Below are 25,948 nucleotides of genomic sequence, written 5' to 3' on the forward strand. Positions count from 1 at the left end.
TATGCAGGGAAGGCTTTGGGGGCTCCTGAATTTTGGGATCCTGGTCTACTCCTGAAACCTTTCCCTGAGAGATAAAGTATAGTATTATGCTTAAAAGCATAGAACCAAGACTCTGAGCTCAAATTCTGGCTTTGCCACTTACTAGCTGAATGATCTTGGGCAGTTTATTTAACCTCTCTATGCTTCAGTTTCTTCATTATAAAATGGATTTGAAACTCCCTCCCTCACGGATTTGAAACTAGATAGAACACAAAAAGTGCTTAGAACAGTGTCTGAGGCATTGTGTTAGCTGGCATTACAATTATTGGGCTACAGAAATCATACCAAGCTATTAGCCCTATATTGAGATCACTCTGGGTTGCGAAACAATTAAGAACATTGGGATCTTTGGGAGGAAACTATTTGGGAATTGTGTTTGGAAATGGATAATGGCAAAGCCCTCCAAGCCTCAGGCCATCCAGCAACGTACACGTTTTTTAACTTGAAGAGAAAATGGAGGAACATTTTGATGAATCAGAAATGTCTGCCTCCTAGAACTTATGGTCAACTTAATTGTTCATTCTAATGAAAAGGAGTTTCAGTTCAGATATGCATAAATTGTGCTCCATTGGCTCACCAGGGCCCAATTTTGGGCACAGCCTGTTTCCTGAAGCAGAATGACAAGGTAGCTTGGTGGACTTTTGAGCCAGGCCTTTCTGGCTTTGAATCTTATTTTAGGTCAGCTTATTGACCTTTTTGAGCCTCAATTTCCTTCTCTATGAAATAGAGAAGTTACAATTCTATAAAAAGTTATAATTCTTTTTCTGGGTTGTTTTGTAAATTAAATAAGATGTACAAAATACCCTGCACAGTGTCTAGCCCTAGAAGACATTTGGTATTTGTCAGCTTTCTTCACTTTTTTGTTAATATTCTTTCCCAATTTGTTTAATTTATCAAGAAAGCCTTGTCATGTAGGAAATCATTTAAAGAGCTGTTTCAGATTTAATATGCATGCAGATCACCTGGGGATCTTGTTAAGTTGCAGATTCTGATTCAGTAGGTCTGGGATGGAGCATGAGATTGTGCACGTTTAACCAGTTCCCGGGTGACATCAATGCTGCGTGTGAAGACTGCACTTGGAGTAGCAGAGTATACTGTACTCTTTTCTCCCTTTGCATCTCATTATTACCTTTTAGATTCATGTTAATATTTTAACAGTTTTACCACACACATTTGCACATCCAGAGTCATCATCTGGAGAAATATCCAAGGTTGTACATTGTTAGGTACTAATAAGATTCCTCCTCATGCAGTACAGGCCGTGATGGTTGAGGTCTAGAAGAAACCTATCATAGACATTTCCCCAGGATTCCCATGGGCCTAGGATCCCAAAGTGTTTGAATAAAATACTTTGCTCCAGCCTGATTGTTGAAGGTCCCTTCTCAGAATCTGGGTCCCTCTGTGACTTGGATTGCAGATCAGTTAGGTTAAGGAAGTGGTCTTTGTCTTTCTCTTGTCGACAAGTCTGGAGGGAGCCACTGGAAGACTGTGCTTCTGCCCTCACTGAGCACCTGAGATATTTTTAGAGCCCCATGTCCCAACTACTAGCTTTCTCCAGGTTCATTAGATCACGTTCTCTCCACTGTACACAGATAGAAGAGTGTACTGTTGTCCTTTTGTGATACACACTTTCTGAGCCCATTGAGCTTTTATAGGAACATACGAATATCCAGCCCTAAGAACTAAAAACAAGCTATGTGTGAAAAAAGCATGAGTGCTTAATGCAAACTCTGAGTGCTTAATGCAAACTCTGTGGTGTTTCTACATTTTTGCAGATTTCTTAGATTGACTTTGGAGAAACCTCCTCACTGTTGTTGTTTTTTTCTAGTTTCTGCTTATTTTGATATTTAAACTCCTTCCTTTCTTTCCTGTATTATTTACAGGAACTTTTCAGCCTGAACCATCAGGGTCATTTGCATCTGCTGTGCCCAGTTTGGGAATTGGCTGTCTTTGTCCTCAGGCAACTTTTCTTGAAGTAAAAAATGCGAAAGTTGCTAATTCCTTTGCATTACATCTCTTAAGTTAGAGATGTGAAGAAGAAATAATAGCCTCCTTCTTGAAAAAAAAATATTAGAACAGGCTTTTTTTTTTTTCCCTTACAAAGTGTCTGTAAGTTAGAGCTTGTTCATCAGCCATGTTTCAAAACAAAGCAAGTCTGCTTCAGTCTCTTTTAGAGTTATCTTGGTGCCATTTCATGGAGAACTTCTCTGTCCTGGATGGGCTCTACCTAATATGTTTGCCAACTTGGGGAAGAATTTGAAAATAGCCCCAGGTAATAACCTAGAAATTTTGAAAGTTAGGGTGGAGAAGGATTATAGAGGGAGAAAATAGAGAAAATATTTGAGGTAAAGTCAGAGGAGCCATTAATGTTTTTACTTTATCTAGATGAAACAGTCAGGGTTGTAACAGAAAACAGATGGCACACTCAATGCTGAAGGACAGTTTATTTCACTAGGACTGTTTACAAAGATGTGGGTTTAGGGGACACCCAGGACTAGTTGTAGCTGTGCTGTTGCTGCCCTTGGGCCTGAAGGTACCCTCGACAGGGAGAGACATCACTTTACTCTCCCTCCCTTCCCCATTTCCTGCCAGAGTCCTCTGTTAGAAGAACCTGATGGGAAGCAGAGAGCACCGGAGCCTGTTGATGCACAATTATGCATTGCTTAACAATGGGGTAATGGACTGAGAAATGTGCTGTTAGGTGATTTTGTCATTGTGTCAACATCATAGAGTGTACTAACACAAACCTAGATGGTGTAGCCTACTACACACCTAGTCTATATGGTACAGCCTATTGCTTCTAGGCTATAGAACCAGTACAGCATATTACTGTACTGAATACTATAGGCAGTTGTAACACAATGGTAAGTATTTGTGTAGCTAAACATAAAAAAGGTAAAGTAAAAATATGGTTTAAAAGAAAAAATCATACAGTTATATTGGGCATTTATTATGAATGGACCTTGCAGGACTGGCAGTTGCTCTGGGTGAGTCTGTGAGTGGTGAGTGAATGTGAAGGCGCAGGACATGACTGTACACTACTGTAGACTTTATCAACACTGTCCATGTAGGCTACACTAAATTTATATAAAAATGTTTTCCTTCAGTAATAAACTAACCTTAGCTTGCTGTAACTTTCTTACTTTATAAACTTAAAATTAAAAAAAATTTTTGACTCTTGTAATAACACTTAGCTTGAAACACAAACACATTGTATAGCTGTACAAAGTGTTTCTTTATATCCTTATTCTGTGAGCTCTTTTCTATTTTTAAAATTTTTTAATTTTTTAACGTTTTAAACTTTTAGTTTTTTTGTTAAAAACTAAAACAGAGTCAGGATCATCAATATCACTGTGTTCCACCTCCACCTCTTGTCCTACTGGAAGGTCTTCAGGGGCAATAACATGGATGGAGCTGTCATCTCCTGTGATAACAGTGCCTTCTTCTGGCATACCTCCCGAAGACCTGTCTTGAGACTGTTTTACAGTTAACTTTTTTTTTTAATAAGTAGAAGACATATGCTCTAAAATAATGATAAAAAGTATAATAAATATGTACACCAGTAGCATAGTCATTTATTACCAAGTATTATGTACTGTGCATAATCATACATACTACACTTTTATATGACTGGCAGTGCAGTAGGTTTGTTTACATCAACATCACCACAAATGTAATGTGATGTTACAACAGCTCTGAGCTATGGTGTCACTAGGTGATAGGAATTGTTCAGTTCCGTTTTACTCTTATGAGACCACTCCAAAATGCTTTTGTGCAGCACATGACTGTAGTTCATCCTGGGCAGCCTTCTGGGGCAGATAGCAGGATGAAGGCAAGTGGACAGATCTGGAGAGGCAAACAGAAGCTGTCACTCCAGGTTTACATTTTCTTTTGGAAGACTTGTTCACCTAAAGACACTATCAATATTGTGAGCTCCTTGAGGGCAGACACTGGCCTATTCACTTATCTGTTAGGTCACTATTTAAATGATTGTTGAATGAATGAATGGGTCTGTTTATTTCCTTCCTTTCTCTTGACTTGCACTTATGGCAGCTGACTATAACAGTATAATTTTGTCTTGGTTAGAGCCTTGTGTTCTGAATAGTTAGGCTTCCCATAGGCATGGTTAACTAACTCAGCGAAACATTCCTTCCAGTGTAATTCAGCTTTTAACAATCTCATTATTAAAACTGCTAAACAAAAACAGGTCACTGTATTAATATCTTGAGTCTTTTGTATTATTATTATTGTTTTTTTGTGGATATCCAGGTTTAGCGAGGCATAACATTCATGAATCTTTCGCCCTTCTCAGTGCTAATCAGTTAGATTTAATTAGATTCTCTATTAAATTGAACCCTGTTATTTCATTTCTCCTCTTACCTGGAGTTCCACTGGCATGCAGATGGATAAACTTTAATTTAGGAAGCCCACAAGGCTTTTGTTTCCTACCCAGGCTGCTTCAAGAGAACCACACAAAGGGCTAAAGTAGCTTCATTAACTATCTTTAGTAGCTTTAAAAGAAGATCTGTAAATAATGTCAGGTGTCTCCTAACTGTCCAGAGGGCAGAAGTCTGAATAGACACCAGCTTATTGGTTACACACTTTGGCAAAGTTTCCCATGCAGTCAAATTGTCTTCCCTAATGATTCTCAGTCATTAGGGTTTTGAAAGAAGGGATAGAGAGCAAAATGTCACAAGTGACTAGTTTGGAAGTCCCTGGGTTTCTTGTGGTGCTCAAGTGTAAGAGCAAAAGAAAATACATGGTAGAGACGGGAGTGAACCCCTTCTTCATTAGAGCTTTGCTGATCTAGCTTGAGGGTTTTCAGGTTGTGTGTTTGTGTTTGTGGGGTACAGTGGAAAAGCCTTAGAATCACTTAGCCATCAGGTAGAAATATGCCTTTGTCCTTTGCTAAAGAGAATGGTGTTCCTGAATTCATTTTGATCTATCCATGAAGTTAGCTTCCAGTATGCTTCTTTTCTTTATGCTTTTGATAATGTTCTTTTGATAGCTACTCCTTATTCTCATGAAATCTATTGAGATTTTACATAATTTAAGTAGGTATGGAGTATTGATTCAGTGTCTTTGCAAGTCACTCTGTCTGATTATAATCCTTGGAGGACATTTTATGGTTCTATTTTCAGTGTCCCAAAGGACAGACAGAAAAAGCATGAATAGACTCACTCACATGTCTCCCTCACATCATCCATAATGACAGCATTCTCTGCTTCCTTTTACAGTGTAGTGCTGTTAAGGCACCAGATCCCTTCATTAATGGTTCTCTGAGTTCAGGTCATGCTATCTCTGGCTTAGGCCATGGGCCTAGCTAATTTATTTATTAATTATTTATTATTTCTTTGATTTCTGTGGGCCTAATTTTTGTTTACCATCAGAAGAATGCAAGCTTTTTTCTTAATAGAATCTGAGGTTTTTTTTTTTTTTTTTTGGTTTTTGTTTTTTTAACCTTTTGTTTCTAGTTTCTTTTTTTCTTTTCTTTTTTTTTTTTTTTTTGAGACAGAGTCTCGCTCTGTCCCGCCTGCAGGCTGGAGTGCAGTGGCGCAATCTCGGCTCACTGCAAGCTCCGCCTCCTGGGTTCACGCCATTCTCCTGCCTCAGCCACTCGAGTAGGGCGCCCGCCAACACGCCCGGCTAATTTTTGTATTTTTTTTTTTTTTTTTTTTTTTTTTTTTTTTTTTTTTTTTTTTTTTTTGAGACGGAGTCTCGCTCTGTCGCCCAGGCTGGAGTGCAGTGGCGGGATCTCGGCTCACTGCAAGCTCCGCCTCCCGGGTTCACGCCATTCTCCTGCCTCAGCCTCCCAAGTAGCTGGGACTACAGGCGCCCGCCACTACGCCCGGCTAATTTTTTGTATTTTTAGTAGAGACGGGGTTTCACCGTTTTAGCCGGGATGGTCTCGATCTCCTGACCTCGTGATCCGCCCGCCTCGGCCTCCCAAAGTGCTGGGATGACAGGCGTGAGCCACCGCACCCAGCTGTTTCTAGTTTCTTTATATATCATAACCATTTAGGATTTGACCTTTCTGGCCGGGCGCGGTGGCTCACGCCTGTTATCCCAGCACTTTGGGAGGCCGAGGCGGGCGGATCACGAGGTCAGGAGATTGAGACCATCCTGGCTAACACAGTGAAACCCCGTCTCTACTAAAAATACAAAAATTAGCCGGGCGTGTTGGCGGGCGCCTGTAGTCCCAGCTACTCGGGTGGCTGAGGCAGGAGAATGGCGTGAACCCGGGAGGCGGAGCTTGCAGTGAGCCGAGATTGAGCCACTGCACTCCAGCCTGCGGACAGAGTGAGACTCCGTCTCAAACAAACGAACAAACAAAAAAGGATTTGACCTTTCTGCTTATGGTACTGGGGTGAAGAGGTAGGGCCGCTGGGGAAACCAGCTGGTGGGCCTGCAGTTGAATATTTTACTACAGGCATGTTTTATTTTGTGAGTAGAGACTCCCTGCCCCTGTAAGTAGACCCAAATGCTTTAAATCGGGCATAGGGCTGGGTGCGGTGGCTCACGCCTGTAATCCCAGCACTTTGGGAGGCCGAGGCGGGCAGATCACGAGGTCAGGAGATCAAGACCATCCTGGCTAACACGGTGAAACCCCGTCTCTACTAAAAATACAAAAATTAGCCTGGCGTGGTGGCGGGCGCCTGTAGTCCCAGCTACTGGGGAGGCTGAGGCAGGAGAATGGCGTGAACCCGGGAGGCGGAGCTTGCAGTGAGCCGAGATCGCACCACTGTACTCCAGCCCGGGCGACAGAGCTAGACACTGACTCAAAAAAACAAAAACAAAAATAAAACACAATTGGACATATATTTTCCTGTTTGCCTCAGGCTTCATTACTCCTTAATGTTGAATTGGCTGTTTTAGAGGAATCCAGATTCTTTAAATTCTCTTTCCCTGAACACTTAAAAAATGGTCTTGTATTCTATAGTAATTATAACTTGTCTTTACATTTGGCTTGGGACTTGGCTGCTTTTTTATGTAAATCAGATGATTCCTTATTCATCATGTAAAGATAACACCAACTGTGTAGTACTTTAGAGCACTATAAGGTGCTTTTATTTGAAGTTTTAAACTTTAGTTTCTTGGATCATTACAATAATCCTGTGGCTAGGGAGGTGGGTATTTTTCTCCTTATTATGGATAGGAGGTAATATATGGTGGTGGTTAAGATTATGGGTGCTGGAGTCAGATCATTTGAGTTTGGATTATATCTTTAATAATTACTAGCCTAGTCTCAGCTAATAAACCCACTCAGTTTCCTAATCTGTAAGCCACAGAGACCTATTTTATAGGTGTATTAGTCCGTTATCACACTGCTGTGAAGAAATACTTGATACTGGGTAATTTTTAAAGGAAAGAGATGTAATTGACTCACAGTTCCACATTGCTGGGGCAGCCTCAGGAAACTTACAATCATGGCAGAAGGCAAAGGAGAAGCAGGTACTTTCTTCACAGGGCGGCAGGGCGGAGTGAGTGCAGGCAGGGGAAATGCCAGACACTTATAAAATCATCAGATCTCCCGAGACTCACTCACTATCATGAGAACAGCATGAGGGAAACCAACCCTGTGATCCAATTACCTCCACCTGGTCCTGCCCTTGACACGTAGGGATTATGGGGATTACAATTCAAGATGAGCTTTTGGGTGGGGACACAGCCAAACCATATCAGTAGGGTTGTGTGAGAAATAAATAATTCAGGCAAAGCAATTAGAACACTACCTAGCACATAATAAGTGCTCAATAAACCTTAACTACTAAAACTATTAGCATTGTTAATAGAATATGAATACATGGAAAAAATAATTAATAAGCATAAATTTCTCAAACTTCTCAATGTTCTGGTTTTTTCCTCTTAAGAGGGAGGATACTTAAATTTTGGTGAATCTCATTTGTCTTTTCATATCCCTTTGAGGTAGTGAAAAATAGATTACATCATCTCCATTTTGCAGGGACTGGTTGAAGTCCAGTGAGAAAAGAATACAGGCTTTGGAGTCAGGTGAGGTTCAAATCCTGGCACTTCCACTTCTGGTTATATATCTCTAAACCTCATTTTTCTCATGTCTATAATGGGGATAAGCAGAACTTTGTTTGGAGGTTTGAAGGAGATAATGCTTACAAAAGAAATAATGCAAGGTACTTAGTATACTTACCACATACTGTGACTCAGTAAATGTGGCTGTTATTGCTGTTGAGGGGAGGGGACTTTTTACACTGGCCCAGGGTCACAGTTAGTTGGGCACCCAGGTTCCATCATCTCTTACATAATGATGAATGTACTGCTTCATCTGGGTATGTTGTTTCTCTACATTTTAAATCCAAGTGTTTTGATCTTTTGGTTACTAATTTATTTTTAATGTACATATTATGGACACTGGCTCTGTGTGTCAGCAGACTATGAACAATGCCTATTGCATCAAAATCCTAAGTTTACCTCATGTCACAAGACAAAAGTTAATGTTAGTGAATCCACATGACCAACAAGGAATATGACACTTGCAGAATCTGTCAGATGGTGTTTGGGCAGCTATTCTCAGAAATTGAAAGCAGCAGGTGTTTATTAATATTTACTATGTGTTCGGCATTATGTGAAGTAGGGGACACAAAAGAAACACCATACTTTATTCATCTCTCACAAGAAACAGATGTGATAGAAACATGAAACAATTAACAATTAAGGAGCAATAATAACACTGTGATTCACAGACATGTAGATAAAAAGACAAGTAGAGCCACACTTAAAGCATATTCAATACATGATAATAGAGTTATTAACAGGGAGTGCTGAGGAGGAGTTATGTGGTATGTATGCATATGGGTGGTGGTGCAGGTTCCACGGCAAGGTGCTGCTTGAATTGTTGACTAGTTGGGAATGCGGTGGGGAGTATTGAGTGAAGAGAATGGAAAATCATATTTGTAAAGACAATGAGATGTGAAAGAGCCTGCGGTAGTAAAGAACAGCATTTGTTTAGTATCCCTCATGGCTGGAGCTTAGGATTTACAGGAGGAGTGGTGGGAGAGCAGGCTGGAGAAGTGCACTAGGGTTAAGTCATTAAAGACCTTGTGTACCATGCTGTAGAGTATGAGCATTAAGGTGTTGGCAACCAAGCAGGCAAGAGATGATTATATCAGTTTTTCAGAATAATTATTCTAGAAACATCATATAGTAAAACAGAAATAAGGGCCCGAATAAAGTCTTACAATAAATTAAACTGAATAGATGAATGAATGAATAGTAGTGTGAGTATTAGACGATACTAACTTAAATGTTTTAGGAGTTTAGAAAAAGGGGACACCATGATGGGAATAATATTCGAAGAAGACTCCATGATGAAGAAAGATTTTTTATTTTTTTATTTTTTTTTGAGAAGGGGTCTTACTCTGTCACCAGGCTGGAGTGCAGTGGTGCAACCTCGGCTCACTGCAACCTCCGCTGCCCAGGTTCAAGAGACTCTCCTGCCTCAGCCTCCTGAGTAGCTGTGACTACGGGCATGCACCACAATGCCCAGCTAATTTTTGTATTTTTAGTAGAGATGGGGTTTCGCCATGTTGGCCAGGATGGTCTTGATCTCTTGACCTCGTGATCCGCCCACCTCGGCCTCCCAAAGTGCTGGGATTACAGGCGTAAGCCACAGTGCTGGGCCATGAAGAAAGATTTGAGTGGTCAGCCCAGGGATTTATCTATAGTAGCTAGCCAATAAACTGGATATTGGACAAAAGTACAATTTATACAGGACAGAAGACAGGAAGTAATACCAAGTTGCATAAACATGTGTGAAGTGGTCAAAGAGACAAATCTAACTGGATAAGAATGGTAAATGATACAATTTCGTATGCATAATGGTCCCAGATTTTGGAAGCCTTCGAAATGCCTGGTTGAGGCGTTTAGATTTATTTCTTAATCAATAGGAAGCCATTAAAGATTCTTAAACAGATATTTCAAGATTTTCAGTTTGGGTTAGAACATCTTGGTTGGAGGAAGATGAGCCTGATGAGATGACACCAGTTCTGATTCTTACATTTAATGGAAATGCCAGAGAGACTTCATTACTTTTGGACAGGAAAATAAAGTTTAATGACCCCACTTTGGTTATGGGTAGACTGTGGAATAGTAGTTCACTGTTGGGAGACAAAGGAAGCTGAGGCAAAAATGAATGATTGCCCATATGAGATTTTCAGTGATACCAGTCTAGGGAAGGATAGAGTAAATAGAAAGATGGTAGAAACTGCTTGCTCTGTGGAGACTATTAGGGATGGCGAAAACATAGTGTGCACGGTCAATATCTTATTCCATACCCATAGCAGACATTGTTAATTGATTTTGGTATATTTTCCTATAGTCTGGAGCCCTTTTTAATGCAGTGCTCCAGGCAGGCTACTATTAGTTGATCAGAGTTGGTGCTGGAATTCAAACCTGTTTGTCATGCCTGTAGTAAGAAATGAATGAGAAATGGGTTATGACTACTCACAGTACAAATCAGTTTTTACCTTTCCAGGTGGAACTTGCAGAAATCTGTGCCAAGAGTGAGCGTTACATTGGCACTGAAGGAGGAGGCATGGACCAGTCTATATCATTTCTTGCAGAAGAAGGAACTGTAGGTAGCATTCCAAGTAGGAACCATTCAGAAATTCCTAGTGGGAAAATTTACATGGAGAAGAAGGCCCTGAGAGCCCCAGGATGCTTGGTTATGGACAGCCTACTATATTAGGCTCTATTGTAGGATATTATTTCCCAACTGCTTGTAACTCAAGGCTGCCACCAGTTAATCTACTCTATTTCATGTTGATTGCCTTTCTCTTACGCTTCCAGAATGATACTCAGGTCTGTTTTTCTCATGTGTCTAGCTTTTTCCCCTCTTCTATTTTTCTTCATTGTTAAGATGAGCTTTCTCAATTCCCTAGTTATTGGAACCTCATTTCCTGCTCCTATCCTAAATCACTTCATCTCATGCATTTTTATAATCTCTTGTTGGTTTTAAACCCAAATCATAGTTCTCTTACCACATATATTCACAGTCCCTCTTTTTATAATTTACTCTTTGGTATCATTTTTCCTGTCAACATTTTTGGGGCTTCAGTGGTGGGAAAAAGAATGTTGCCAGTAAGCCAGGAATGAATTCCTTAGCTGGATACCGCTTCCCCTTGGCTATCAACTCCTTTAGGCAGAGCAGAGGTTTTAGTTGTTGCTCATAAGCTGCTCATTTCCAAAATAGAGCAAACATTTCTTTAAAACATTTTCTTAGTTTTTCATCAGATTCCTACAGGCTTGGCTATTTTCCAAGAACACCTGGATTCCTTCTTAGTAAGAATATTTGTTATTGATTCCCCTAAGCCAAAGACATGAGGCATGAGGAAATTTGTTTTAATACTAAGAAAATACTTTGGGTGTTTTGGATGAGACGCAACAGGCAGACATGAGGGCCAGAGTCCTGATGTTAATGTAAGTTAGCTATAGAGTCTGAACACAGTCTAAGTTCTTTGGGCTTACAAAACACTTCACCATCTGACCCCTGCTTTACCCTTCTATCCTAACCTCTCACCACTTCTCACCCCTCAAACTGTAAGCTCTAACCAAATTTCCATGCCCGTAGCTCCATTAACATTCCATGTTGTTTTTTGCCCCTGGACTTGCCTAAGTTCTTCCCTCTTCTTGACATGCTTTTTGAGGAAAGAAACCCTCTGTCTGCCCTACTTTTTTCATCTTTTAGAACTCAGTTTAGATTTCTCTTTTTCAACTGAGTGGAACCTACAGTAGGCTGTACTGATGAGATGCTTCAGCTATGTATCCATATAGCATCTGTGCTTTGCTACCATTGTAACACAACTTGGAAAGGTATTTGTCTGTCTACTAGACTGTCTTTCCCACTTGATTGCGGGCTCTATGAGAGGAATGACAGTGTCTTTCCTGTTCACTGTTGTATTTCCAGTGCCTAGTACAGCGCCTGGAGGTCAATAAGTAATATTTGAATGAATGAATGCATTTTTGACAAAACACTTTAAGATAAATACATAAACACTTGAACATTTTCTGCATTCTAATAAATTATATTTCTCCTTTCATTTTTCTTCTAACAGGCCAAGTTGATAGAATTTAGTCCTCTGAGGGCAACCGATGTAAAACTCCCAAGTGGAGCAGTGTTTGTGATTGCCAACAGTTGTGTGGAGATGAATAAGGCAGCAACTTCCCATTTCAATATCAGGGTGATGGAGTGTCGGCTGGCTGCGAAGGTATGAACTTGGCAGGCTAGTGAAACTTGAAGTAGGGTTTTTCTTGTCTTTATTTTCATTGTTCTCTATTACTTTATCTCTTTCCCCAAATTTTAGGGCAACATTCTGACTGCACAGCATTCCAACTGAAGGTCTTTGGGTACAGAGAAATCTGATTTCTAACTCAGAAGACAGATGAACCAGTTGAGTCTTCTGGGGTGGCACTGGGAAGAAAAGGGCAGCTTATATATGTGAAGCAGAATTATAGGTTAGGTCTATGGGTGGAGAAAGATAGTTGGGGACAATTGATGGGAATGACCACAGCTGGTCTTGTTTCCTCAACAAAAGTGATGGCAGCCTCACCCCTCCTGGTCCTCTAAGATGCAGTTTTTTTATTGGGTTATCATTCGTTACTCCAAAAATACAGGATTGGTGAAGTCCCCCCAGACCCCGTACCCAGAAAGAAGATTTTTACATGTCTACTAGGGAAACACAAACCAGCAGGGAGTCTTGGAAGTCTCTCTTTAGAAAACTGCCACAGTTAAACCTTAAATCTATTTAGGTAGTATTCATTGACTAGCTATTGTAGTTCTAGCGGCATGAAGATATACAAAGGGACATAGGACATGGGACTAGAGAGAGTGGACAGTAGAGTTAAGAGTTCAAGTTAAGGGATTATGAAACAGGAAATGGTTAATATGTGATCAGATAGTAAGTAATCCAGTGATCCAACAAGTGACACAGTAATTAAATATTATAAATAATCCAGAATAGCTCATAATACGACTAGAAAGTTGGAGAGAGGACTGAGGCTGGAGGCTAGGAAGTGGATTCTGGGTCAGGAGCTCCACTGTGCTTTCTTCCACTCTTGCTTTGATCTCCTGATGGATACTGATGGATATCACCTAAGACTTATGATCAACCTTTACCAGGTCTTAAATACAGCCTGAAATCTATTTTCTCAGTAGTAATAATTTCATACCTTCTTTACTTCTCTCAAATACCCATTACTTGATTCAGCCTAACTTCCAAAAGTGATTTTCTCCCATATTTCATGTTGGAAATAGATGTGGTCACATAGACTTTGGCTTCCTGTCATCATATCTGTATGTCTCTCTATATCTGCATCTCCTGTCAAAGCCAGCCCTTCCATGTGTGGCTGCAGGGAACTCACTCCATCTTTAACTTGTTCCTCGCCTCTATTTCTCTACTAAATCCTTTCTATCAGACTCCACCTATTCTAGTATTTTGTATTAGAAAAGTCTACCCTAAGCCTCACAACTCTCTCCATCTACTATTTCTATTTCTACTTTTTCATTCTCTTCACAGCTAAACTTCTCAAAAATTGCTTTATATATGTTATCTTTACTCCTCTACCTCCCTCTTATTCCTTAATTTACTAAAATCTCACTTCTGCGTTCTCCACAATGTTGAATTTGCTCTTTCTTAGGCCACCAAAGGTTTTTTCATTGGTAAATCCAGTGGATGCTTTTCAGTCTTCATCTTATTTCTCATTGTTATTTCTTATCTTTCAACAGAGTTAACCAGTCTTTCCCTCTTGAAATATTCTCTTCCTTAGGTTTCCAGTATACTTCACTTCCTGTTTTTTCTTTTCCCCCTTATATTTTTGTTGCTATTTCTTTTTAGTTTTAGCCATTCCCTCCACCGACCCACCCTGGGCAGGGATGAAGGGATGGCAGGAATTCACTCCTCCTCCCACAGATGTTTAAATGTTGGTGTTCTTCAAGGCCTTGGCCTTGGTCGTCTTCTTCTTTCTAGTGGTCTTTCTTCTGTTGGTCTCATGCCCTCAGCTTCAACTTCCATCTCTATGATGATGACTTCCTAATAAACATCTTCAACTAAGGCTTTCTTGGTTGAGCTCCAAACCTCTATATCCCATGCCTTATTGACCATCTTTACTTGAATGAATCATAGACCTCTCAAACTGAGCATGTTGAAATTGAACTCAGTCTTTCACAGACCTTATATTTTTCCATCGGTCCCATCATCACTTATTGACTATCACATTAGCCTTCTCACTGTTCCTTAAATTCATGCTCATCTCTTTCCCAATCATTCTTTAAATAACAGCATGACGGCTTAGAAATTTAAATCTGAGCAATTTAAATTCCCCTGCTTAATACCTTTCAAAAGCTTCCTATTTCGTTGGAATAAAGTAAAAGGTCCATATCACGACCTGGAGAGCCACCATATCTGAGACCTGTGCACCTCATCCTCTTCATCTCTTAGCATCACCTGCTTTCCTTACACTCCAGCCATGAGACTCATTCTCATCTCAGAGACTTTGCACCTGCCCAGGACATTCTTCCTTCAGCCCTCTTTGAAGTCTTAGTCTAAATGTCCCTCAAGGAAGCCTTCCCTGACTTCCTTACTCCTAGACTAAGTTAGAGCCCCCTTTATATTTTGAAGCACTTCATTTTTCAGTTATGGCACTTATCACAATCATTTATTTAATGTCTGTCTCTTCTTTCAGATTCAGTTTTACCTGAGAGCTGAGGCTGTGTTTGTCTTGTTAACTCTTATATCCCTAATGCTTGATGTGATGCTTAAGCTGAAGAGACACAGGATAAACATTTGTTCAATAGATGAATGACAACTCCCTGTATCACCTGCTCTGTAGTTTATTTTGCACAATTTCACAGTTTTTTACAAGTACCTATTGTATGCTTAGCACTGGCCTAGATCCTGTGGAGGTGTGTAAAGTATAGTTTTCCCTTGTTACTGACTTAGCACTTCTCCTCTTACTTCTATCCTCTGAGGTTGGGAAATTCAGGAAATTAGAGATATACTGAACGAGGAAAATAAAAGCTTTTTGTTTCTGGAATATTTGGGGGGCATACATTTTTTGAAAAATTATGATTTAAATGTTTTGAATTTTTAATTTACTTATTAAGATAGTGTCTAAAAATAATGTAATAGAAGTGCTTTAACATTGAACTCTTCATAGTATTTGATCAGTGCATATGTGCAGAGAAACAGTTCTGTAAACTTTTTAATATCAAGGGTTCAATGAACTTTTTTTCTTTTACGACACACTTCCTTTTTCAGGAGATGGAAGAAATTAGTGTCTTATTTGTTTGAGGGCTTAGTCTTGTTGACCTTTTATCTTGAGGTTGATGAGTAAGTGTTGCCTTCCTAAGGAGACCTCAAACATACACAACATTGTTTTCAAAGTTTTATCACGAAATTAGATATCCTCTACCAGATCCATAGGTGAGCTGAAACAAGTATTAGACATGTAAAATCAGTTCATGTTGTGACTACTCTCCCAAAGATACAAGAAGAAAATGATGGATAAAATTGTAGTGCTGAGTCTCTGTAGTAAAAGTTATTGGGATGTGGGAATGTTTTTTGAGAGTTAACTAGAAAAAGGGCATCTCCTTTGGAAGCAGTAGTAGCTGAAGATCTTAATCCACTGCAGAACCTCCTGTTCTTGAGGATGTTTTCTCAGTTTAACTGCGTAACCCCATATGCATTTTAGAGGTACTTTGGTCAGCAAAATTGGCATCTGAATTTGGCTTTTTGCTACACACTCCTCCCAATTGACGTAGATAAACACACTGTTTTAAATACTCTGAATTTTTCTCTTTTAAAATGTGGAAGAAAGAAAAATGAAAGACTTTATCAAGATGGAAAATGTTTTCTAAATCATGTTGCTGCAAATCACTAAAATCCCAGGTTTTATACAAAAGGGAAATGAAGATAAAACTGCTAATGTGCACTTTACTCAGAGATATTGATATTAGGAATATGCTTTTGCTTAGGAATATAGGCTGGAATTCTACTAAGCATATTTTCTTTGCAATATGGTTCTATTCTTCCATTTTTGGCAACATGTGAATGAATATAATTATTGTTTGAAGATGGTCTCATTAAATAAATAACCTCTCATGTAAAAAGTTTAAAAAAAAGCTTATCTCAATCTGACCAAACTTTCTGTTTTCCAACAACAATAATGAAGTGTCAGTTGAAGAATGGCTAATCAAGATAGTTTTGAAAATGAGACTGAGACTGATCAGCTAGGGCTCCACATGGCAAAGTTGTAATGAAGAACATTTATTTTTCCTTTCTTCCTATTTTTCTCAGATCCTTTTTTGAAAATGAGTACCTTTTTTTAATCAAGTTAACACAGAGAAGTACACTAAACCAGTAAAGACAATTTTTCTTTGTTTTGCATTAATGCTAGCAATTTCTTCTATTCTCAACTTCTTTCTCATCTTGTTTCTCTGTCTCTGTCTCTTTCTCTCCATCAGCTTTCAAAAGCTAATTCATGCAAATTCATAAAAAGTCAGAGCCTTGTAGAGCATTTGACTAAAATTAAAAATTTTTCAAAGCAAACTCGAGATTTATAATTACTACTTGTATAAATGATATCTTAATGAAGCACATTTTTATGATAAAGTAGCCAAGGATCTTTAGTAGGTACAACATTTTTCATATTTTACACACATTTGGGGCTTAAATGTTTCCAGAAGTGCTTTTCTTATACAGTATCCCTTAGTTATGTTGAAGAATAAAATGTGTGATACCCATGATAAGTATTATGGGAAGTCAGGTAGGGAAGAGAAATTATACTGTTGCTTTTTGCATACCCTGAGCTCCTTGTGGCAACATGAGAAGCAGTGAAAGAGAGAGTTTCATATGTTCCTTTGACACTTCAAGGAAAATTTACAGTGATTCTTTACAGGGCCTGTCTGGTCAGGGGCCATCAGTCACCCAGTTTTTCAGCTCCTTTCATTTAGTAGTTGGTATGAAACTTATTCTTTGTCTGGTGATAGAATGGGAGGAGAAGTTGGCATAATAGTCTCAGGGTTTTGGCAGTTTCCTTGAATTTGAGCAGAGAAAAACCAAATACTCAAGAATGTAGCCAATTTCACGCAGCCAGTTGATTCAATAGTGCATACTCTGCCAAGACTCTGGCATGGAGTATTCAGGCAATGGTGAGTCCGAGCTGCATGGCAGAGGACATACATACTGGGGAATAGGGGTAATGTGTTTAGTGGAACCAGATTGTGGCAGGACCTTCAGTGCTATGCTCAGCCTTACCCAGGCTTGGCTTTGAAAGCAGTGGTTGTTAGCAAGGTATTTTAGAAATATTAATATGACAGCAGGAGCTTTTGCCTTGGTTGAAGAGAAGTAGGTACTAGAGTATCAGTGAGGATGGGATAAAAAGGGAGAGATGTGAGAGAAGCTCTGACTGGACCTAGTAAGGGTTGGGTACAGGCTCTCTGTGATTGGATTTTTGTTTTCCTTCTGGCATATACTTCATTACTTTGAGGAAGTTTTCCTTGACTACCTCCTGACCTCAGTTAGGTGAAACACTCTTTTATGTGCTCTTACCATGTCCTGTATTTTTCTATTATAGCAGTTTATCATAATTGGATTAAGTTCTTTATGATAAATGTAGTTTTAATTTAACCTCTGTCTTTTCTGGTGGGCTGTGAGCTGCACGTGGTCAGGAGCCATGTGTGCCTTACTCACTGCTGTCTGCCTGGAGCCTGGGAAGTAATAGGCACTCAGTAGACACTCACTGTGAGCAGATGCACATGAATGAAGGAAATGAAGAAAAGGTGTTGAGTCAATAAGGGCTGCAGCTTCAAGGTGCAATGGTTGGTGAAAAGCATAGTGCTGCCATTGATAGGTTTTGAGAAGGCAGGATGGACTAGAAGTTGACTAAAAAGTAGGAGATGATGAGAATTCTTCATGAATATCTTAACACTTTCTCTACCATACCCTCTTACCAGAAGACCCAGGGAGTCTCAGACCAAGAACAGAGGGCTTAGTATTTTTGTTTGTGTCTGGGACAACCTGAAAGTGCTAGGGAGTTAATATCCTTGAGAGCCACCTCAATCAGTGGTAACTGGGAGTTATTGGGTAAATACTTTGGCTTTCTTGCCCATGGTGGGACATGACTGAGCTTTACACATACAGGTTCCTGAGAACCTGTGATTTGAAGCTCAGCGGGCCCAGACTCACCTGCCAATATCAGTACACCTCATATTGGCGTCTTTTCCTGTTTCACTTTCCATTCCTCTCTTAATGCTTCTTAGGATCACCTTCCCCTCAAATTCTTACCCTCAAATTTTTGTCACAGGGCCTGCGTCTGAGAGAAACCAACCTAAAACAGAGTTTTAGCACCATTTATCAGTGCCTCTTTCCATGACTGTGGACAAAGCACTTGTTGCCTGCTTTTTTGTCCACAGAGCATGGAACAGAGCTCAGGAACCTCTCAGAAGTGGTATCTGATAGGAATACTTAATGTTTGCCATGGTGAAAAGAAAGTGGTGAATGTGGACAAAGAACTGCCTTCTCTTATTTCCCCACCCTACTACTGAGTGAGAAAGTTGTGACAAAATAACCTATAGCCCTGACTTATAGCCCTGCTTCACAAATGTGAAGGAGGCCAGTCACCTGGGCCACAAGTGCCTCCATGAAGCTCTGTCTTTGAACAATGGTGATCTTATCCACCCATTTCCTTCATCTGAAAGTCATCTTTCTGTTTTTCAAGCCAAATTTCAAAGGGCTTAAGAGGCTTTTCTATTTGACTCCCTCAATGTAGTGTAATTCAACAGCTCACGGGCTGTGCAGCTGTCATTGAGGGCATATGGTAGATTTCATCCTTAATTGAAATACACACCAAATTGGCTGTGTGGATTCTCCAGCTGAGGGCTCACTGGACAACTGGTGTCACAGTAAAGTGGGATATTGCTGGAGTGAATGTGAACTCTATGTTAGTGCCTCAATCTGCAGAAGAGCACATCAGGAGGCTGCCTTTGAAAACTGAATCTTGTGGGCTGTAGCCATCCCTTGCAGACTTTCTCCCCACACATCACTGGCCCAGTTTTCTTGGATCAAGTGCCTGGGGCAATGTGACTGGTTCAAGAGAGAATGGGAATGGGAACTTGGAGATTACTGTGGACTGAAAGCTTCTTAGGAAGAGCCCACTGTCATCTCTTGGGGGCAGTTCTGTGATGTTTTTCTTTTTTTGTTTGGAAGGAACCCATTTATCAAAGTGTTTTTAAATTACTGGAATGTTCACTTCTAGCACAGATCTAGGTTTGTGTTTTGAAATGCGTTTCTAAGACTTGATCGGTGATTTTAATTCATGTGGGTAACATGATATAGTTATCATGCATACCTCATTGAGAACGTGGCCTAGGGGCAGCAAGAAAGAGTTATAAGACCTGGATTCAGTTTCCAACTCTGTTATTAACTAGTTGAGTTACTTTGTTTTTTTGTTTTGTTTTGTTTTTTTGAGACCGAGTCTCACTTCATCACCCAGGCCGGAGCACAGTGGCATGACTTCCGCTCACTGCAACCTCTGCCTCCTGGGTTCAAGCAATTTTCATTCCTCAGCCTCCTGAGTAGCTGGGATGTCAGGCACATGCCACCACGCCCAGCTAATTTTTGTATTTTTAGTAGAGACAAGGTTTCGCCATTTTTTTTTTTTGCTTTTTGTTTTTTGTTTTAAATGACACCATGTTCCATGAAATAATTGAACCGAAAATCATAGTTCTATTGTTTTGTTTCCCAGTTTGGCCTTAAAATCATTAACTCATTTCAAATATACGAGCCAGGGTTTTAAAAAGAGGATTAAATTAATATAAGAACTTCTGTTATTAACATTCTTCAGAAGTCAGTGGCTGTAACCAGAGTACAATAGTCTTTTGGTAAACCCCGCTTCCTGTCAAAAAGAGAAAATCATCAACATAATGGAAGAGTAAATCAGATGCACATTTTCTTGAAGACTGATTTCCCCTTCTCTTGTTTCTTTTTGCTGCTTAAAATGCCCCTCTGTCTTCACACCCAGGCAATGAATATTGTAGACCTCAGGATAAGAGAAATCCTCACTGTTTTGATTGCCACCTACTCTGATATTGCTTGGGGAGAATGACAGAAATATATTCTGGATTGGGGTTCCCATGGGTGGTTACAGATTTGGTTTGTACTTAACCCGCACTGTCAGATTGAGGAGGTACCTCAGGATGCAGTTAGAAGCCAAACTCTTTTTCTTGAGGGTAGAGGAACATATAGCTCTACTACCACCAGTGACCTAATGAAGTGCTTCCCATAAAGTCACCAATGAGGTTTTCATTTCAAATTTAGGACTTTACCCCAAATGCCCATATAATGCCATTTTCAAAGAGACATATAGTAAACAGGAAGTACCCTAATTGGATGTACAGTATCCTCTCAGGACCCAGGTCACATGAGATTTAAGTAGTTTTCTCTTGACTTCCTAGGGAGGAATGCAGTAGGCATGAACTGAATAAGGATAAAAGAGTAAAATTATTCAAAGAAACAGCCCTGAGGGAAAGTGGTGACAGGCCAAAAAAAAAATCAGTGAGAGATTAGTTGTGTGTGTTTGCGTGTGTGTGTGTGTGTTTCAGGACAAATACCTACCTAGTCTGTGAGTGTAATACAGACATGTTTAATTCCAGGCATCTGAAGCCAGTATGCATTTCCAAGTAATGGTGGGAAAGTTGGATAGGTTGAAAGGAAAACAACAACAAAACAAAAAACAGCTTAACGTTGAATCTGGCTAATTAAAATAGTACACATCAAATTCTGAATCAAAACTGACCATTATCTTGATTTGAATTTGCAGCTCCTGGCTAAATACAAAAGCTTGCAATGGGACAAAGTACTGAGGCTGGAGGAGGTGCAGGCTAAACTAGGGATTAGTCTAGAAGAAATGCTGTTGGTCACAGAAGATGCCCTTCATCCTGAACCCTATAACCCTGAGGAGATCTGCAGGTGTCTGGGAATTAGCCTGGAGGAACTCCGAACCCAAATCCTGAGTCCAAACACTCAAGATGGTGAGTTGGCTGGAGAAAGTATGATATATGTTATTCCCTCACTTACAGCTGGAAGGTTTCAATTTCTCCACTGGTTTTAGAGAATACTTGAGGGAATTTGGAGACTGTGTTTTGGCAAGCTTAATTATTTAGAATCTTAGCTTCATAAATGTATTCATTCATTCTTTCATTCACCACTATGCTGGGTAGGCAAGGGTGAATGAGACATGATTCCTGTCTTCCAGGGGCTTATAATTCAGTAAGCTTCTCTTTTTTATCTTTTTTTTCCCTTATCCATTTTTTTCTGGTTATTATGCTACTTGTATAAAAAATGGACTAAGTTAGAGAACTGCTCTAACTCTGTGAAACAATACTCGGAACACTATAAAGTGTTCACGTCTTAGGTTGAAACTTGTGGCCTACTTTAGTGTGGAAGCTTATTTCTATTTGTGGTCTGCTTTCAATTAACTTTATTTTTATACCAATAACATCAGAAACTGAGATGAAGCCCAGGTAAATGTTGCAGGCACAGGATGGAGTCTTGGGCTGGCTTGTTCCTCTTAGACTAGAGGTTATCTATTTGTGACAAATCAGTACTGGGGGCAAGGACATCTAGTTAAGATCCAGTTGCCCTTAGCGGATGGTTATGGGGGATGAGTAGGAGATTAATACAAACATCAGCCTCAGGGACCCATTTCTGTCTCATTCAGTTCAGTTCTACAACTGGTTGTTGAGTTGCTACTGTAGATTTACCCACAAAGTAATGTCTTAAAGGCTGGAAGTACTGAAAACTTTGGGATGAGATAAGGGAATCATTTGGAAGTAGGGATTGGGTTTTAGTTTCTAACACTGTCGATCCAATTTAATTTGATGAAGCTTGATTGAGTCTTTAGAACCAGAATAAGCAAACTATGGCCTACTGGCCAAATCAGGCCTGCCATCTGTTTTTATAAAATAAACTTTTACTACAACACGGCCATGTATTAGCTATGGCTGCCTTTGCACTATAAGAGTTGAGTAGTTGTGATAGAGATTAAATAGTCCACAAAACCTAAAATATTTACTATATGGTTCTTTGCAGAAAATGTTTGCTGGCTCTCGTTCCAGAAAGGCAGTAGACTAAAGTTTACCTTAGTTTTGCCATGAAAATAGGCGTAACAGGAATGCCTCTAAGAATAATCTGTATAATGTGCTAAGAATAATGCTTGGTAGCAGAGGTACTAATAGAGTGATGAGTGTGGTGATGGAGTTGTACTTGGGTCTAGGGAGACCAGAAAACAAAGAAGTCAAAGCCAGCTTAAGGCCGGGTGCAGGGGCTCATGCCTGTAATTCCAGCACTTTGGGAAGCCGAGGTGGGTGGATCACTTGAGGCCAGGAGTTCGAGACCAGCCTGGCCAACATAGTAAAACCCTGCCTCTACCAGAAACACAAAAATAAGCCAGGCATGGTGGCAAGCACCTGTAATCCCAGCTAGTCAGGTGGCTGAGGCATGAGAATTTTTTGAATCCAGGAGACAGAGGTTGCAGTAAGCTGACATTGTGCCACTGCACTCCAGGGGGAGACCCTGTCTCAAATAAATAAATAAATAAATAAATAAATAAATAAATAAATAAGACCCTGTCTCAAATAAATAAATAAATAAATAAATAAATAAATAAATAAATAAATAAGCAAGCAAGCAAGCTAGCCAGCTTAACTAAGGAGTTAGCAACCAGCCAAAAGTTAAATAATAAATAGGTATTTCCTAGGTAGGCAAACAGTCAGAAAGAATTCCAGTCTGACAAAACAGTAGATACAGAGGCAGAAAGAAGTGAGAGAAGATTATATGTCCAGGGAACTACAGATAGTTGAGTGTTTCTTGAAAATAATGTACATAGTAGAGAATGATACAGTATCAGGCCAAGGTTGTGGACAGACCCAGATCACCAAAGGCCTTATTAAATAATTTGTGTGTGTGTGTTGTATAGGTAATGTGGGAGGTAATCAATATTTATTGAATGAAGAAGTTGGGTAAGGTATTGGATAGGGAGAGGTTCAGGGGAATTGCCTTTCTCCTTTGACCTGAGATATTGATTTCTTTAACAAATCGTATTGACTTCTGTGGACTGGAAATTGTGCTAGATGCTGGGATACAAAGATAATCAGGACACAGTCTCTACTTTATAGTGACTTAGTGTCTAATTGGGGGAGAGTGCCATACAACAATCACAATAAATAATACCTGCTATAATAAAGGTATTTATCAAGAACCCTAAGAGTATGGAGGGAAAAGTGGCTCAGGTCCTGTAGATGGTGGTTCAATTTTGAGCTGGATCCTTAGAGAAAGTTATGAATTTCCTAGACTTAGAGAGATTACCAGCCTTTCCAGGTGGAGAGTAGAGCTTGAATGAAGACAAAGTAGCACAAGGAGTCGAGTACTGGAGAACATGCACCAAGAGGTATTGTGTGCAGTATGAGTTAGAAGACAAAAAGACTGCCTAAAAGGATGCCAATTAGGAAACTATTGCTCTATACTCTATACTGAATGAGAAGAGCCTGAAGTAGGATAGATGGCTCAACTGGTAGATTCTCAAGACTGTAAAATAGAATTCAGTTGCAATTGGCAATTGCTGGTATCTAGGAGTGAAGGAAAGAAGAAAGAGAAGAAGGAGGGGAAGGAGGGAGAGGAAGAAGGAAGAAAGGAAGGGAAGAAGAAAAGAAATATAAGGTAAATAAATCCAAGGTATGGATAACTGGGAAAGTTAGGAAATTATAGTATTGAAGTGATTTTGGCAGTAAGATGACAAGCTCATTTCTCTCTCTCTCTCTCTCTCTATCTATATATATATATAGATAGATAGATAGATTCATCTATCTATCATTGAATTTGTCTGGTGTGATAGCAAGATATCTAAATAGAGATGTAAAACAGGTAAAGATCCAAATGATATAATAATTAGATTTGGGGGTTATTGTTGAAAAGGTGAGAAAGTCTTAATAGACATTGAAAATGTTGACTATGAAATGATTTTAAAAGAGTCATTTCATGGTGTCACTTAGTTCAGAAGCCTTCAGAGGCTTACCATTACCTAATTGCCTGAGCTCTTCTAGTCCTGTCTTAACTAAGTTCTGTCCTGTGTCCCTTTTGAGCCCATACTTGCCTGTGTGGACAGTGTTACCTTGGTTGGACCATTCCACTTACTAATTGGAAGCTTGGTCTTCCCTCTGGGCTTTTAATCCTAAATACCACTGTGCTTTTATAAATGAATTTTCTCCCTTTTCTGAAATGCAGTTTCTACCTGTCTTAAAAGCTTAATATAATTCTTATCTTCTGCTTATGCTTCTTAATCCACAACCTATTCTCTTGCTCTGTATCCATCTTCCTTTCTTTCTGCATCTGCCTGTCTTCCTTTCTTTTAGATTTTTTTTGAATAAGTAAATTTCCCAGAATGCTTTGGAAAATACAAAGAGCAATTTGCTTATCAAACAACATGTATTGCTCTCTCTCTGCCTCTCTATGTATATATTCATAAGCTTTTCCTCCTGAAGAATAATGACTTCATGGTTTTTGTAAAAATGAGGCATGCTTCATCTTATTTCTTTTTTTCCAGAACTTTTATTTATTTTCTTTTTCAACTTAATTTTAGGTTCAGGGCATACACACTAGGTTTCTTACATGTGTAAATTGCATGTTTCTGGGGTTTGGTGTACACATGATTTTATCACCCAGGTAGTGAGCATAGTATCCAAAGGGTAGTGTTTTGACTCTCACTCTCCTACCACTGGCCATCCTCAAGTAGGCCCTGGTGTGTACTTTTCCTTTCTTTGTCACCATATGTACTCAGTGTTTACCTCCCACTTACAATTGAGAACATATGGTATTTTGTTTTCTGTTCCTGCATTAATTTGTTTAGGATAATGTCCCTCAGCTGCATCCATGTTGCTACACAGGACATTATTTCATTCCTTTTTATGGCAGCATAGTATTCCACAGTGTATTTGCACCACGTTTTCTTTATCCAGTCAACTGTTGGGCATCTAGTTTGATTCCATATCTTTGCTATTGTGAATAGTGCTGCAGTGAATATATAAGTGCATGTGTCTTTTTCTTTTTTTTTTTTTAAGACAGAGTTTCACTCTGTAGCCTAGGCTGGAGTGCAGTGATGCGATCTTGGCTCACTGAAACCTCTGCCTCCCTGGTTCAAGAGATTCTCCTGCCACAGCCTCCCGAGTAGCTGGGGTTATAGGCACCTGCCACTACGCCCAGCTAATTTTTTGTATTTTTAGTAGAGACAGGGTTTCACCATGTTGGCCAGGCTGGTCTCGAACTCCTGACCTCGTGATTCACCCGCCTTGGCCTCTCAAAGTGTTGGGATTACAGGCGTGAGCCACTGCACCTGTCCACATGTGTCTTTTTGGTAGAATGATTTATATTCATTTGGGTATATACCCAGTAATGGGATTGCTGAGTTGAATGGTAGTTCTGTTTTAAGTTCTTTGAGAAATCTCCAAACTGTTTTCCACAATGGCTGAATTAATTTACGTTCTCACTAGCAGTGTATAAACATTCCCTTTTCTTGGCAAACTTGGCAACATCTGTTGTTTTATGACTTTTTAGTAATAGCCATTCTGACTGGTGTGAGATGATATCTCATTATGGTTTTAATATGCATTTCTGTAATGATTAGATATTGAGCATTTTTTATATGCTTGTTGGCCATGTGTATGTCTTTTTTTGAGAAGTATCTGTCCATGTCCTTTGCCCATTTTTTAATGGAGTTATTTGTTTCTTGCTTGTTGATTTGTTTACCTTTTTCATAGATTCTGGATATTAGACATTTGTAAGATGCATAGTTTGCAAAAATTTTATCCTATCTCTGTAGGTTGTCTGTT

The 25,948-nt window shown here is 39.6% G+C and overlaps 1 protein-coding gene across 18 annotated transcripts in view; it reads left to right on the forward strand.

Moving 5' to 3' along the window:
- GALK2 (galactokinase 2) overlaps window positions 1–25,948 on the forward strand; it is a 211,967-nt gene that overhangs the window by 115,667 nt on the left and 70,352 nt on the right. For 16 of the 18 annotated variants that reach the window (NR_147895.2, NM_001001556.3, NM_001352048.2 and 13 more), the window contains 3 exons: window positions 10,547–10,645; window positions 12,126–12,278; window positions 20,887–21,097. Coding sequence is in view for 17 of the 18 variants with exons in the window: in NM_001001556.3 (NP_001001556.1) it covers window positions 10,547–10,645; window positions 12,126–12,278; window positions 20,887–21,097 (463 nt within the window). In the remaining variant the exon portion in view is untranslated. The remainder of the gene's footprint in view (window positions 1–10,546; window positions 10,646–12,125; window positions 12,279–20,886; window positions 21,098–25,948) is intronic. The other 2 variants (XM_024449894.2, XM_047432353.1) reach the window with 2 other exon arrangements.

The sequence above is a fragment of the Homo sapiens genome, chromosome 15, assembly GCF_000001405.40.
Source record: "Homo sapiens chromosome 15, GRCh38.p14 Primary Assembly".
In the NCBI taxonomy this organism is placed as follows: Eukaryota; Metazoa; Chordata; class Mammalia; order Primates; family Hominidae; genus Homo; species Homo sapiens.